Here is a 16,538-nt window from a genome sequence, read left to right on the forward strand (position 1 = left end):
ATTGCTTTCCTAGCTGTTTTATTAGCACTGAAATGTATGAAAGAAGAGAAACTCAATCTATGTGGCTTGTGAAGCCAATGTGTCTGGAGTCAGCTAACACTGCCCTGGATACGGGAACAAAGCCCTCGGCTCCTGCCTGATGCATCAGGCTGTATTGTCTGTGCAATCAGACGACTATTGAAGCTTTCCAGCCAAAAGGAAGGCATTTCCTAATTAGATCCTCAACCTGCCTGTAAAGTTGGAATGTTCAAATTTGAGTTCATTATTTTCTTTTTCTCTTCTTTCTTTTTATTTTACTTGAGTACATTGTTTTCTGATATTTCTGACTCTGTGCCCTTTCCTTTGCTTTATCATAGTTGAGGAAGCAGCAAAGAATGGTGGCTAAGAGCCTTGGCTCTGTATCCAGAATGAGTTCAAATTCCGGCTATTCCACATTAGCTATTTAACCTAGGCCAGAGCACTAAGCCTCTTGCTTCCTCCTCAGTAAACAAAGATGACAGTCCCTATTCCATAGAGCTTCAGTGAGAATTAAATTAGATAATCTATAAAGAGGCTTAGAATATAGTAAATGCTCAATAAATGTTACCTATTAGTATTAGGTTTTGATATTTAGAAAAGGGCCAGAGTAATAATTATCACGTAACTAGGTTTCATGGGATACAAAGCAAACCTCATAGTCAAACAGTAACTCGGCCCCACCTTTTATACCTCTCAAACCCAAACCAGGCCCCACTGGAGATCTCCTGGGCTCTTAAGAGGATGTTTCCTAAGGTCCAAGGGTGCCAGCTGGAGCCCAGTCAAGAAGACCCCACCCCCGCACCCCCAGCTGCTCACTTGCTGTGCTGGAGGTGCTGTCTGTTTTCCAGTCTCCTCGTCTCAGCTCCGTCCTAGGGGGAATGACACTTTTCCTGGGGCCACTCTCATAGACTCCAAACTCCACTTTTGCAGGCAGGTGCTGTGAGTGCCGAATTGGGACCGTGATCTCCAAGTCTGGAATTGGAGGAAAGAGGGATAAGCTGTCAAGATACCAGACTGTCACCTGCCAAGCTGCTCAGCAGCTTCCCTCCACCTGCCTCTCTCACAGGAGCCTGCATGGGAAGGGGAAGGGGAAGGGAAAAGACGATGGGAGAGGGAGGGGCCCTGGGTTGGTGGCCCCCTCCCCTTCAGCACTGAAACTACTGAATCCTGTGTGGCTGTCACTGAGAGACTGAAGAGAGGAATAGAATAATGTGAGAAAGGGACAGAGAAGCGCTTCTGCATCAGGGAGTGGAAAGAACAAACCATAAGAGAAAGGTTTGGGCTCTCAGCCCTGCCACTTAGCATCTGTGGAACTCCAGCAAGACAGTTCTCCTCTCTGAATCACTCCCCTTATCTGAGGAGGGGTATCTCCATCCTTGACTGTAATAACAGGCTGCCCTATGCACCAAGCAGAGTTCTGAGAGCTATGGTATTTTTCATTCATTTAACCCCCACAACACCCAAGAAATAAATATTATTATCATCAATGCCAGCAGAAACTAAGGTACAAAGAAGTGATGTAGCATGTCCTGTCGAACAGTTGGTAAGTGGCAGAGCTGGGATTTGAACCCAGGCTCCGGAGTCCAGGCTCTTAACCACTGCTTGTACAGCCTCTTGCTCTCTGCACAAGGAACGGATGGTGGGTGGGTGGGTGTGGGCTGGGTGGCCCACACACACAGTAATGACCCCGAAAGCTAATGAAAGGAGGTCCTTCAGGCCTATGAAAGATTTTGTGACTTGCAAGGCCCCTGGGGTAAAGAGAGCTGATGCCTTTGTCGAGCAAAGCACTGACCTGACCTCCTTACTGGCTTAACCCTACCCAGAGGTTGTCTCTGTTCCTCCCTACATTTCCAATGCTGGGTTCTAGGAGCAGAAAACAGTAACTCTGATGAGTAGAAAAAAAGTCTGGGGGCAGCAGCACCAACTTCCTCCTGAAGGCAAGATGTGCTCCTGCCTCAAGACTCCCCCGGCTGCCTGGGACCTTCTCAAGCCCAGGGGCAGGGTTTATACAGCGGTGGCTATACAAACTTGGGTAGAAGAGGTGTTAGCTTTGGGGACGAGTGCTTTTATCTTCTGGTACCACTTCCTCCTCCACCTCTACCCTTCTAGGGGACAGGCGTGGCAGGAAGTTCAGAGAGTCCAGGGGCAGAGGTGGCTCCACCTACCAAAGCCAGAAATCTGGCAGGGTGAATGGATAAACTGGAACAGGATGAAGGAGCAGCGAGAGGACAGGGCACACCAAGTCCCCCAGAACATTCTGCGCAGAGAATGATCAGAGTGGATTGTTGGCTTGCACAGGCACCAGCCTTCCTCATCTGGAGACTCCGGCTCCAGGTGTAGTGTATGGTCCAAGTGTCCAACCAGCTTCCTAGGGTTTTGTGTAATCCAGGTCTTTTTCACATGCTGGGGCTCTCTTGGCTACAACCATGCCATGGAAGCACCTACCCCAGCTTGGAGCTACTTGGGCAAAAATAGCCAGGGGCACTCACTCTCATATGGGTAGCCCCCACAGTATCTTAGAGACCAAACGAGTGTCAGTCTTTTTTTTTTTCTTCCTGCTCTGACTTAGATTTTTAAAAATCATTGTTTGTTTGAGAAGGAATCTCGCTCTGTCGCCAGGCTGGAGTGCAGTGGCGCCATCTTGGCTCACTTCAACCTCTGCCTCCTGGGTTCAAGCAATTCTCCTGCCTCAGCCTCCCGAGTAGCTGGGACTACAGGCACGCGCCACCATGCCCAGCTCATTTTTGCATTTTTAGTAGAGACGGGGTTTCACCATGTTGGCCAGGATGGTCTCAATCTCTTGACCTCATGATCCACCCATCTCAGCCTCCCAAAGTGCTGGGATTAGGTGTGAGCCACTGCACCCAGCCAAAAATCACTTTTTTAAAAGGGAGATTCCGGTCTGCTTAATTAACTTCGAGGAGGCAATTTTTTAACCTCAACTAGTTCTATAAAGAAGGAAAGTAAAATACACAGGAAAAAATAGGGAGTCAAAAGTTCAAAAAATCAGGTAGAACCAGTCCGAATGTTTATAAAATCCTGATATTCTTTGAATAAAGGTACAATGCTAGGAATAGTTATCATGATTATATTGCATAGTGCTTTCCCAAAGTGCATTTATATGCATTATTATACCTCCTTTAAACTTCATGACTTCTCCATTAAGTAGATAAGTCAGGTTATAGCCCCCAGTGAGGAAACTGAGGCACAGAGTGGTTAAAGGAATTGGATCATAAAGTGATTCAGTGACAAAGCAGGAATCAGAACCCAAGTTTCCTGGGACCCGGTTAGCTCCTCTACGTCCTGCTCCACAGGACACACCCAGAACACAAATATTGATTATCTTCTCTGTGAGGCCATGGCTCTCACCAGCCCTTCTCTAATTTCCTACGCCATCAACGCTCTGTACCAGCCCAGTAAGAGCAAACAAACCCCTGGGGTTGGAGAAAAATGGGCAAGTTATTAAGAACAGTCTTAATTTTTAATTCTCTTTGGCATTCTAACCCAAATTAAAGATTACTATTTTTTCCCTAAGGCAAACGAAGTTCTCAAATGAATAGTCAGTCATTGTGTTTAGAATGGGTTACATTCTTAGAAAAGATCCTTTAAGCACAAACATTATTCATCAACCCTAATTTTCCTATAATGTTATCGTGTGTCAATAATATGTCATATTTACTCAACCATAAATGATGCCTTCTCTTTGGCAAATGCTGCCCTTCAACCTCAGCATGCAGTACAGGGTCCAACTTCTAATTGCCTGAGGCTGTTTCTCGTAGCAGAATGATGAGTGCCCCTCCCCAAGCAGGCCTCCATCAAAGGCTGATGGGGGCTGGTGTATAAATGTCCCAGCTGTCTCGTTGCTTAGGTGGGTGTTCTCCACTGATTCCTCCCTGTCTCACTTCTCCATCCCCTACCACTTTCCCTGGGATCACCTCCCACACCAGCTATTTGCTCTCAAATCCTTATCAGGGGAGAAAAGTTCTAGAAATGCAAGTGGTAGTGCTGGCACAACACTGTGAATGTACTTTATGCCACTGAATTGTGTGTGTGTGTATATATATATATATATATATATATATATATATTTTTTTTTTTTTTTTTTTTTTTTTTTTTTTTTTGAGACAGAGTCTCGCACTGTCGCCCACGCTGGAGTGCAGTGGTGCGATCTTGGCTCACTGCAGCCTCCGCCTCCCAGGTTCAAGCGATTCTCCTGCCTCAGCCTCCTGAGTAGCTGGGACTAGAGGCGCATGCCACCACACCCAGCTAATTTTTGTATTTTTGGTAGAGACAAGGTTTTGCCATGTTGGCCAGGCTGCTCTCGAACTCCTGGCCTCAAGTGATCCTCCCACTTCAGCCTCCCAAAGTGCCGGGATTACAGGTGTGAGCCACTGCACCCAGCCTGAATTATGCACTTAAAAATGGTTCAAATGGTAAATTTTATGTTAGGCATATTTTATTACAATAAGTACCACAAACAAGGAGGCCCTTGGGGCTGTCAGGCAGAACGTTCTCCCATATAGATTGCTTGCCGTCCCCGGTCATTCTTGTTTTGTATCAAATTATATACAGTTTAATCTCTCAATAGTTATGACATTGATTAAAGCCCCTGATATAAGAAGTACAAATACTTAACACCCCTCTCCCGAAAATATCCTTGTCAGAGGGTCTGCTTCTTGGAGAGTCGGGGATGGGGGCTGGAGATGGGCAAACTAAGCCATGCTCTTTTGGAAAAATGTAGACACTGACCATTCTAATTTAGACTGTCGCTACTGGTGGGTATAAATCACTTGTTCAGAGCCTGAACAGCCTTGGGTGAACCTTGCATAATGTTTCAGAACTTGTGATTCATTCTGGATGGCCCTGCCTGAGAGGACCTCAGCTGGTGTGTGGGCCTCTGTGTAATCATGGGTGTGGACACTTTTAGGAATACTCCCAGGTGCCAGGCACTGTGCTAAGCACTGGTTATACCCCAACTCATTCAATGCTCCCTAATGGGGTGGGCACTTTCACTTTTACCATTTTGCAAAGCAGGACTGAGGCTCAGGGAGGTGACATATCTCGCCCACAGCTCCCAGCTAGTGAGGGGTGAGCAGTGAGCAGGAATTTGACCCCAACCTCGCTGGCCCCAGAGTCCATCCCTGTACCCCTCTACTCCTCTGCATGTGCGTCTGTCCTGCTTCAGTATCTCCAGTGGCACCAGGTGGGGAGCCCAGATGAGTGGTCAGGATGTGATGAGACCCAGAAGGCTCAGGTCTTGAGCCCAGACGGCTGAGCACATGTGACTCCAACACTAGGACTCCTGGGCCTTCAAACACTGGGTGCAACGCCAAATCACAGGTTTCTTGATGCTGTCTGTATTTAAAAACCTGAAATGTCTCATTCCATCAAGGCTTCTATCTTTGGGCGCATGGACTCTAGTTTTAAAAAGCATCTCATCTCTTTTATCACTGAGACCCCTATTATCTGACCCTAGGATGACTGTGCAGATCTCGAAACAGCTTTTCTGCCTTCTCTCCTTTCTCTTCCTCTCAACCAGGAGGACAGACAAGTGTGAACTCAGCCACCGGCAGCATAAATTTAAAATCCAGACACCCAAGCAGAAGACATAGGATGACCTCTCTGACCTTCTGCGATGGTTAAAACCTCTTAACCCCTCTTCTCCCAAAATCATTAACATTCACTAGGTTAGTACTATCTTCAAAACACTGTGTTAGGCATGGTGGAACAGACCCTAGTAGGGAAAGCCAGACCTGTGTGAATACAAAGATAACTGACTCATTAGCTACCAGATGGTGAAGCTAGTGTCTCATAGGTCTCTGTATTTGGCAGGGTGCCTGGTGCTTGTTAAGTGTGGAATGAATGAGTGGTGTCACCAAATAGTTTCCTGAAACTGACCATTCCAACAAAGCCTTCTAGAACTCCATCACTGTACTGTTCTGCACACTGGGGACTCCACGGAGCACACAGCAGACAAGTTTTTGCCCATGTGGAGCTTCTAGTGGAAGGGAGATGGGGTGTTGGACCATAACCTTGAGAACAGAAACCAAAGATGATTCCAGTCTGTGATATGTAAAAAGAGAGGATGCCAGGGAACAGAAAGTGAGTCGTGGAGGGCTACTCTGGAGAGAATGGCAGAGAAGGCCTCTGATGAGGAGATGCTACACTGAACTCTGAAGGATGAAAAGGGCCTGAAGGTGAAGATGTGGGGAAAGGCAGGGGAATGGCAAGTGCACAGGCCCTGAGGGAGAAATGCTCTTGGCTTGTTAGAGCAATAAATAGGAGTCCAGGGACTGCAGCACAGGGTTTGGGGGAGAATGGAGGATGAGCTCAGGGGTCAGATCACAAAGGGCCTTGTAGGCTGTGAGCAGGAATGTGTGATTTTACCCTGAGTGGGACAGGAGCCCCTGGAAGGCTTTGATCAAGGGCGTGGCATTATCTGACTTTTAAATTTTTTAAACATCATTGGCTACAATGGGTTAACTATAGAGGGGCAAGAGTGAACATGGGGAGATGACTGAGTGACTACTCCCTTAGTCTAGGCAAGAGATGATGTGGCTTGGCTGCAGCAGTGCCATAGGAGATGGTTAGAAATGACCAGATTTAGGATACGCTTTGGAGGCAGAACATCTGTGGACTGCTGATGGCTTGGATGAAGGAATGAGGTGATAGCAACCAGAGACAGAAAAAGAGAAGTGCCAGATGAATGGAAGGGGTGGGAGGTCCCACATATACTTGAATGAGGAAGGAATACCATGGCCTAGAGTGGTCCAGGAAGGTGTTACTGAGAAGGGGCTGCCAGGGCTGGGTCTTGCAGCCCAGTAGTTTTCATACAGGTGAGAAAGAAGAGGCATGGCATGAGCAAGGGGTCCACGGCAGGAGAGAATGTCCCATTTGGACACCAGGGTGTTACCAGCCCAACTAGGTTCATGGGAAGTCAGGCAGCTGATGGCAGCTGGAGAGAGACCGTGGAAGCTGTGCACAAACAGGGCTAGATTTTAACTTGGTTCTTCATGTAATAGGGCTCCATTCAAGATCTGAGTGCCTCTGAAAGCCTTCTCCTGCATGCTCCTCTTGCTATAAGGCTGGCCTCGGTTAATCACAGAGGCCCACTATGCCAGAGGCTCTCTGTGGGAAGATGCATTGTGGGTAAACGCCAACTTCTTGCTCAAGGGTGGTGATGCCACATGGCTGGCACAGGGGTAGGCTTAAGGGGAGCGGGGGCCCAGTCCATAGTGTGCACCACTGGAATTTGTGGCCCTGCTATTGCACCATGGAAGCCCTGCTACACCTGGGGCATGGGCTTCTGAAGCACTGTATGGTGTGGATGCAGATGACGCCATTGCTCACCAGAATCAGAAATAGACACTGGGTAAATGGGATTTTCTCCTTTCTCTGCTTAAAAAACATAAGTCCTCCTAATTGCCAAGGGGAGAGTCAGATGTCTGCAGAGGAAGTATCACCATCCTATTTGAGTGAAAAGGTGGAAGCATGCAGAGTTGAATCCACTTATTCACTTCCGGGCATGTCTTATGTACCAGGTACCAGATTGTTTACAGAATAAATAAGATATAACCATTGTCCAAAAGGCCTTTACAGTCTAGTGGGGGACCCAGATCTGTAAACAGTATGACGAGTGCTGGGCAAGTGGTCTGCCCACTCAGGCCACAGCCAAAAGGAGAGTCAAGGACAACAGATGACAGCAATGTCCCACACAATGCAGCACCCTAGGAAGCCACATACCTGTCTGCTTTCCTGATTTTTGCTTCTCTCTCTGTCTTCGGGTGATGCTGTCTCTTAGCCGTTTAAGATTTTCCTGGAAAAAAATTTGGTTTATTTTTTAAGTGTACAACAGGATGATACCCTCTGGACATGAGAGTTTCTTTCAGATTGTATGCTGTTTGCAGGGTATATCACATTGCAGTCACATTTACAACATGCAAATGAGGCTCAGCGCATTCACAGTCAGCCCCCAGAGAAATCCAAATACTCACAGAATCTGTGCCTGAAGAGAAGACATCTCTTCCACAAGAAAGTGTCTTTCCTCCCCTCTGGTTCTCAGCTCTGTTCTATATGACCCCTCTCATGTATGCCTCTTAGCCCAGCTCACAAATACTCCACAGGTATTCCTGTCTCTGAGACTGTGTTCTCACATCACTCCCCTGACCTTCATGGATGTTGGTTCTTCTCCATGAGTCTGGATCAAGGCCCACTTTCTCCCTGAAGCCTCCCCAGATATGCCAACCATCCAGCACTTGGGCTATGCTGCTCCATCATGTGTGCACACTCTTGTGCCTTGCCTCTTTGAGATACTGTGAGCTCTTCAAGGTCAAGAGACCACGTCGTGTACCTTTCCATAATCCTGCCATCTGGCCCATTGTAGTCATTCAATAAATGTTGAATAGACATGTAAGGGTCAAGATTGTTGCTATTTTAGTCAATTAACAATAACGCCGAAGTTAAGTGCCTGAGCATTCTAGGGAAAATGTCCAGACAATCTGGCTGGAGCAGAAGGTTCATGTTGGGGAGTCACAGGAGGCCAAACTGGAAAGGGGGGTTGGTCTGCAGCTGCAGGCTGAAGAGACTCACCTGTGTCCAGGAGACAGCAGGGAAACACTGAACACTGTGAGCTTGTCATGGATTTAAGGTTCTAGTGAACTAGAGAAGAAGGAACAGAGGCCAGCAGACCTTCCTGGAGACTATGGAGTATGCCAGATGCAGGCAACAGAAGCTGACATGGGGATGTGGCTGGGGGAATGGAGAGACAGGAGCAGATGCAAGAGGACAAATGCCGCAGAGCAGGACCAAGCAGGACACACCGCTGACTGGGTGAGCGGAAGCACGGGAGAAGGCCAAAGAGACTCTGAGGTCTGATCTCCCTCTCCTCTGTGATGAGCACAGAGAGGCTGTTGGGAAAGGAAAGCGGCCTTGAGGGATGGTTTGTTGTTAGACATGCTGTGAGCCTGGGGCACTCAGGGGGACAAAGCCAACTGGGGCTGGAAACATGGAACTGGAGACACAGACTGCACAGAGAAGGAGCTGAAGGAAAGCTTCAATGTCCATTGTGAGAGGGTGACGTGAAGGAGACAGAGGAGTGGACAGAGAGGCAGAGGAAAAGGAAGATGAGGCCTCCACCCAGGAATGTCTCCACACCACCAGCCCCTGAAGGGGAGATGCTCAGGAAGTGGCTAGAGGCTCTCAGGGAACCAAACAATGTGAGCCCCCATGAGCTGGGATTCTGCCGTATTAAATATAAACCCGTCGTCTGCTATGCCCAAGAGTTCTGGACCAGCTCATGGGAAGGGAAGAGGTCTCTTGGATAGAAACACAGAAAGACATGGCACATGTATACCTATGTAAAAAACCTGCACGTTGTGCACATGTACCCTAGAACTTAAAGTATAACAACAACAACGATAACAAAAAAACCATACTTGGAAAGGATTTACCTTTCTGCAACAATGGACTGGTACATACAGGATGATGGTAATGATAAGACACGTAAATTATGTTCCCACTGGAAACCTGCCCTGTCCACCCCTTCTCATTTCCCTTAACCTTATCCTCAAACTACTTTAGCTGAGAAGCTTTCCAGCAGACTGAGTTAGTGGTGGCTTATACCTATTTATATTTGTATTAATTGCTTACAGATTATACCTCATATTAGCAATTACCTTACACTACAAGAAAATGTAAAAAAAAAAAAAAAGAAAAAAAGAAAGAGAGCTAACATTTATTATGTATTTACTACGTACCAGTTATGCTGCTTACAGTAGCTTATATCACCTAGTCCTCCCCTTTCATATGAGGCACAGCAAGGTCAAGGTCATCAAATAGCAGAATAAAGATGTAAATTCAGGCTGCCAGCTCTAGAGCCCTGGCTGTTCTTAACTACTGTGCCACGTGGTTGCACAACTTGGCAAGGAGCAAAAAAACATTGTTTAGCCAGGGCCAGCCTTTTCTCAGCAGGACTGCAGCCTCCCAGGGGCTCCTGAGTGAAAAGCACCCGTGATTCCTGCATTCAGCTCTCCAGAGTGCCCTCCCACCCTTCAGGCCCCAAAAGGGAGGGAGGCAGCTGGCAGAGCAGGTGCCCCTGTCTTAAGGAGCACTAAAAAGGCAGAAGGCATAGTGAAGGGAGCACAGGCTCTGGGGTGAGAAAGGGGAGGTTTGAACCTTGACTGCCTCTTCGCCTCTCTGAGCCTCAGTTTTCTGTAGAACAGGAGGAGTAATACTTATTTCATATGCGTGTATGAGGAGTGAAAGAGATCAGGTCTATTTAACGCTGAGCACAATGCCTAACATAGCACTGTCGGAGGTCAGCAAATGCGGCCTGATGACATGCTTCCCCACTCTTCACCACTAATCCTGTCCCAGAAGACAGGCTCCTATCTCAGCCCTGGACGGGTGCTGCTTACTCCCCGCCTTGACAGCTGGTATGTCAGATAGCGTAAGAACAGAGATTAGAATACACACCACCAGGGTCTATAGCCATAACACCCTGAACGCGCCCAATCCCATCTGATCTCTGAGGGTAAGCAGGGTCGGGCCTGGCTAGTACTTTGAAGGAAGCAGCCTGGGGAGGTGGAGAGAGAAAGCAATAGTTCCAGTCCTGACTCGGCCCCTCACTAGGAAAGATGCCTTGGACGTGTCCCTTAACCTCCTGAGCCCCATTTCCTCCTTTTTAATACAAAGGCATTGGTGGACTAAGAATGAGCTTCCTAAGGTTAAGTTTGAGTTCTTTTTTTGTTTTTAATTATACATCATGTACACTTATGATACAGGTATGGAGTTATATATTCTCATAAAAGCTTCAAACTATACAGGTAGAGCAAGAGTCTCCTCTGACACCCCAGTCCTCCAATCCCAGTCTTCTCCTGAGAGGTGGCCCCTGGAATGGGCCCGAAGTGGCCGTTTCCAGATCTTTGTCCTTGCATTTATATACATGTCCATAGAAATACAGAGTTTGTGTGTGGACGTGTCTGAGTTGTTTTAATTTGGGTGGTTTTGTATCTGCAACTTGTTTTGTTCATTTAATCATATTTCTTGGGAGTTTTCCAAGTTCTCTTTGAGTCATAAAGTGTGATAGTTATGAGGGTATTTGGCAGTAGGAATAGAGAGAGAGAGACTCTGAAAAGAAAAAAGCTGGAAAGCAGAAGCAGGGAGCCAAATGCAGAGAGACACAGCAGCAGAGTTAGTGTTTGTAGTTGAGTCTTTGTTCCTGATCTCAAGCCTCATGGTACCTGGAAAAGCTACCCAGCTCTCAGCCAGGGAGCCATGTGGTTACAGACCGAGGTGACACTCATACACACTCACTGGTTCACAATGAAACTCAAACATTCGCAGGCACAGCCACAGGTGTCCAGGTACAGCAATACACAAGACAGCCATGGCCCAGCCCTCCTCTACTGTCAAGTGGGGAAATAGACATGAAACAAATTCCATACGAAGCTAGTTACCTGCTGGAAACGAAAGGACTCCGATCGTTTCTTCTGGTTGAGCTGCCACTCTTTGAAGTGGAGCACAGCCTCATCCACGTTGACAATGCCCAGCTTCACCTGCTCCTGGAGGGTGATAAGCTGCCGCTGGCCTGGCGTTTTCATTCCCGCAAAAGGGTCATATATACTCGACTGGGGCCTGTCCCTCCATGGTCTGACGGGCGGCCCTGGAAAGGATGGCAAAACTCAGCTTGACAGCTCCCCCACTGGGGACCACTCACCAGAAGTGTACGGTTAATGAGGCTGGTCACAGGCTCAAGAGGACTCTTCTCAAAAGAACAATTACATGTGGCCAAGAAGGGGGAGATACAACATAAAATCAGGGGAGAAGAATGCAGCTAATAATTCCAAGGCCTATCACACTGAAGTAGACAAGGCTGCAACATTTAAGGGAGGCGTGAAATCTGCTGACTCTCCCAAGTCTTAACTATTATTATTATTTTTAACAGGCTTCATTCATTTCATTTTTCTGGTAAGAAAACCGTACGTTGTAGCCACAGCTGGAACCTGCGTCTTCTGCTTAGAGACTCTGGTGTGGGTCTTGAGAGATGGTCAGTGAATTCCTGGTAGGGAAACTTGGTGAATACAGTCTCTTTCCAGAGGTCAGGGATCCAGTTGCTAGCAGTCTTAGAGATGGCATCAAAGGTGGCCCAGGGTGGCAGTGCGGTCCCTGGCCAAGGCGTAGCAGCCATCAGCAGCAGCTTCTTGGGCACAGAGGCCAAGATGATGCTTAGTGCCCCTGGGGGCAGGGATGAGGCACACACACCAGCACAGAGCCAGTGGCCTGTCACGTTGCAAAGGCTGGTGTGGGGCTTGCTGATCTTGTTCCCCCTGTAGCCTCTCTGTGCGGGTCCAATGGAGAGCTTGGCTGGGATGATGGCCCGTTGGATGGTAGTGGCTACCCCCTTGGAGTGCTTAATACCCAGACAACATGGCCATTGTAGTCCTCAAAGGCAACAAACACCTTGAACCTGGTGAAATGGCCAGCATGGGTCAACTTCTGTGCCAGCATAATCTTCAGAACCCCATTCTTGAGAGACGACTCCAGGAAAAGGTCAATGATCTCAGACACCTTGATGGGCAGAGAGAAGACAGCTCTCCCAGGACTTGATCTTCACATCTTTGGCCAGATGGTTTAACTTAGTGATAGGCGTCGACTCCTTGTTCTCAGACTTACCTCTATGAGCTCCAGAGCCTTGGCCCCAGCCACAGCCACAACCTTGGCCTGATGTCACTGCCAAAGCCTCCAGGGAGGCCATCGCAGCCTGCCATTCCAGGACCCCCAGGCCCTCCCACTGCATCAGCATCATCCACCATTTGGTGTTTTCTTGAAGAAGCAGCCAAGCCTTAATTATTGAGACGCCTTTAGACAAGTATTTCTCAACCTTGGCACTATTGACATTTTGGGCCAGGTAATTCCTTACTGTGTGGGTGTGTCCTGTGTATTGTAGGATGTTCAGCAGCATCCCTGGCTTCTACCCATTAAATGCTAGCAGCACCCCCTTCTTGAGTTGTGACAACCAAAATTCCCTTATATTGCCAAATGTTCTTTAGGGAGGGGGTACAAAATCACTTCCAATTGAGAACCACTGCTTTAGACTTAAATCCATACCCAGAAGAGAATACACTGGAAGAGTTTAGCCAGGATGCTTCTCTTAGCCCCACTCTCATCCCTCACTGTCTCTAAGCAGCATGAGGCACAGTGATTGTGGACCCATGGGCATGAAATGCCCCAGGAGACTGGAACATCAGTGGAATCCTGACACAGGCCCAACAGCATCAGGTATAAAGTAGGTGCTGGCTTCCAGCTGGCTACCCTTGGGTTGTTCCTGTGCCAACCTCTCTTCTACATTACAAATTCACAGTTCTCTGCTTTGGAGCTTCTGGAGAAATATGAAGCCAACCCTCATCTCTCTACAGGCTGTGACTTCAGTTCTGTGGGGAATGAGCTACTCGCAGCGACCATGGGGCCACTGAGGCAACTTGACGTTTCACTCAATTCATACAAGGCTATTTGGATCTAAATTTCTCCAGCAGGACTCCATTTGGGCATTGTGACTCAGGGACATAACATGAAGAAAAAAGAGAAATGGCTGCACCGGTGAGTACTGAAAAAGCCTCAGAGACGTTTATCTATCATTCTGCCCAACCATTCACTTATCTGTCCGCACACACCCACACATCCTTCTCCCAGGTCTGCCCTTGTCAAGGCTCTCTTTAATGGTATTGGGAGACACAGTGGAGGAAAAAACAAAATGCACAAGCCAACCAGTTCCAGTTTCCTACTACCAGAGCCCTTTGGGGGATGCCTTCAAATGCTTAGATGGTGTCATGGCTACTTTTCAAAAGAATCCTCAATGGGATAATACTGAGTGTTTCTGTTTAGCACAAGGAAATTAATCAAGAGAAAAGAGCACTTAGCTCCTCAAACTTCCTTTAAAACTGTTTAGAAAAATAAGACTTCCAAGTTGTTCCCCAATGGCAAGCAAAATACCTTTTAAATAAAAGTTGAATCAAAGTATAGTTTAGCTAGTATAGATAAGGTAAGTAAATAGCCCAGAAAGGCTGTTATCATTAGGTAAAGACTGAGTGCTGGGCCACCTACTTTCATCCTGTTGGCATCAACCTCCATTTTTAGATTGTACTTTTATGTGCTTTATGGACACTTTCCACTAATTAAGGTCCTTTGTACGACCAATTTGCACAGCATTGTAGGGGACCCTGATCTCTTTCCCTCCCCCTTTACCATCAGTACAAGACTCTCAGACAGTGCCACACTAAAGTATCCTTGGATCTCTCTAATTAATTAAATAATTTATTTAATTTTTATCTAATTAATTAATTTATTTAATTTTAGAGACAGGGTCTCACTATGTTGCCCAGGTTGGTCTCAAACTCCTGGCCTCGAGTGATTCACCCCCCTTAGCCTCCCAAAGTGCTGGGACTACAGGCGTGAGCCATGATGCCTGGCCTAGATCCCTCTATTTTTCAATGTCAAGGAGCTATTGTTACACTTGGAAATCACTGACCTATGAACACTTCAACCACACAAAAGTTCAGTTCATATAACACATGGCTTACCTTTCCTGATGCTCTCTGAGGAAACGTAGAAATTCCCAGGCCGCTCTTGACTTTTTTCTGCAAAAACTATGAGATAAAGAATATTCTGATTACTGAAAAAGTATCAAAATCCAGTACAAAATAATAATAATAATGAATCCATACCTAGGACCACCGTATGTGGTTCTGTAAATCAAAATTGTAGAAAGAGGCAATTAATGAGAAGGACTAGGAATTGTCAAGTAATGGCAGACTAAACAGACACAATCTCAAACTAGAAAACCAAAGCTAGCCAGAGGACATGATCAGCATTTACAAGCTCATTGAAGAAAACGGTAATGGGAAAGGACATGTGCCTGGACCCCTGAGAACCTGAAGCTAGCCATGGAAAATGTGAGCCTTAAAATTAGAGAATAAAAGGAAGTACCACTTAAAATGCCAGCTAGTGCCATAAGACAGAACTCTAAGCAGTAGAACAGCAAAATGTGTGCACAGCTCCAAAGAGATTAAGGTGAAGTCACTTACGAGGGACAGATTCATGAAGGTTAGGAGAGAAAACTGGGACATGACAAAATCTCACTTAGTGGTAAGATGACATGGTGATTATGGCTCCCTGGGCTCTGAAAGAGGCTCTCTGAGTCCAAATACTAGCTCTGTGGCTTGTGAACCATATGATCTTGGACAAGTGGCTTGACCTCTTCCTGTCCCTATTTCTTATCTGTAGAATGAGGATGATAATAGTTCTTTCACTGGTTGTGATGAAGATTAAATGAGTTAATACATGGAAAGTGCTTAGAACAGTGTGTGGCCCATGTAAACACTCAGTGTTAGCTTTTATTATAATTATTCATATCTAAACTTTGAGACTGTTGCCAATAGTCAGCAATACCTTGGCATGCTAGTTAACCCAAGGGATGGCTCTACAATGCCTTACAGTTTGTAAAGTACTTCCTTCTGTATTATTTCATCTGACCTTCGCAATAAGGCTATGGCAGAGTATTAGTATGTATTATTAGGACATGTATTAATCTATACGTGTATTATTACAATATCCATTTTATAGATGAGGAAACTAAAGCTAAAAAGGGTGAAATGGTCCAGACATGGTGGCTCATGCCCATAATCCCAGCATTTTGGGAGGCCGAGGCAGGAGGATTGCTTGAGCACAGGAGTTCAAGACCAGCCTGGGCAACACAGCAAGACCCTGTCTCAAAAAAAAAAAAAAGAAAGGTGAAATGACTTACCCAATATCCTATGCTGAACAGCTGGAAAATGCAAGAGCTGAGAGATGAACCCAGGTGTTCTGGCATCCAAGCCATTGCCCCTTTTGTCATCTCCTGCCTCTCTCCTTTCCTTCGCTTCTCCACAGTTTCCTAGCAAGTCCATCAGGGCTCTTGAGGAATCACCTGTGCCCCTGTCCAAACACCTCCCTACAATGAGCCATGCCATCAGTACGGTTCCCTACTCCCTCTGCTATTTAGGAATTACCAGCATATATTTGCATGCTTCTTAGATTGAGTTCCCTCAGAAGCAGAACCCGAGACAAGGATTCAAGTGCAAGTTGTCTATTTGAGAGGTGATGGAGGTGAGACGGGGAAGCGGATGGTGCAATGAATGGTGGGCTATCAAGCAAGTTACACTGCGGGCAACCTAGGAATGACTAGAACACAATGTAGAATGCGCAACTAAGAATTCTCCCACCGGAGGATGCAAGTAAGCTGGGGCACTCATCCATACCTCCTGTCAGGCACTGGTTGAGGGCAGCAACTCCGTGTGTTAATTCCCCAGTGCTTTCAACCTGTCCTATAAGAGGGCAGAGAAGGTGCCAGGTGCCAGAGGAAGCCCTCAGGCTGCAAGACACAGATGCTGACAGGTAGGGTCCAGCCAATGAGCACAGAAATGCAAAGGGCTAGAGGGACATGGGCAAGAAAACAACAGTGTCTGCTGCTCATGCCAAGGAGATAA

General features: G+C 46.9%; 1 protein-coding gene and 2 pseudogenes across 4 annotated transcripts in view, besides 1 other annotated feature; 1 reads left to right on the top strand and 2 right to left on the bottom strand.

Moving 5' to 3' along the window:
* The window catches only part of PIK3AP1 (phosphoinositide-3-kinase adaptor protein 1), a 127,200-nt gene that overhangs the window by 15,563 nt on the left and 95,099 nt on the right, over positions 1–16,538 (bottom strand). For all 4 annotated transcript variants that reach the window (XM_011539248.2, NM_152309.3, XM_047424566.1 and 1 more), the window contains 4 exons: positions 14,595–14,660; positions 11,475–11,680; positions 7,762–7,834; positions 835–990 (listed from right to left, as the gene is read on the bottom strand). In XM_011539248.2, the coding sequence (XP_011537550.1) occupies positions 835–990; positions 7,762–7,834; positions 11,475–11,680; positions 14,595–14,660 (501 nt within the window). The remainder of the gene's footprint in view (positions 1–834; positions 991–7,761; positions 7,835–11,474; positions 11,681–14,594; positions 14,661–16,538) is intronic.
* On the top strand, positions 10,499–10,606 carry RNA5SP324 (RNA, 5S ribosomal pseudogene 324; annotated as a pseudogene).
* On the bottom strand, positions 12,000–12,830 carry RPS2P36 (ribosomal protein S2 pseudogene 36; annotated as a pseudogene).
* Positions 13,540–13,761: a silencer, noted in NCBI's record as "fragment chr10:98382174-98382395 (GRCh37/hg19 assembly coordinates)". NCBI's record gives its function as "represses an EF-1alpha promoter that drives an FKBP-Casp9 reporter gene in an ReSE screen in phorbol 12-myristate 13-acetate-treated (for megakaryocytic differentiation) K562 erythroleukemia cells {active_cell/tissue: K562(+PMA)}" and the evidence as "EXISTENCE:reporter gene assay evidence [ECO:0000049][PMID:32094911]".

The sequence above is a fragment of the Homo sapiens genome, chromosome 10 (genome assembly GCF_000001405.40).
Source record: "Homo sapiens chromosome 10, GRCh38.p14 Primary Assembly".
Taxonomy (NCBI): Eukaryota; Metazoa; Chordata; class Mammalia; order Primates; family Hominidae; genus Homo; species Homo sapiens.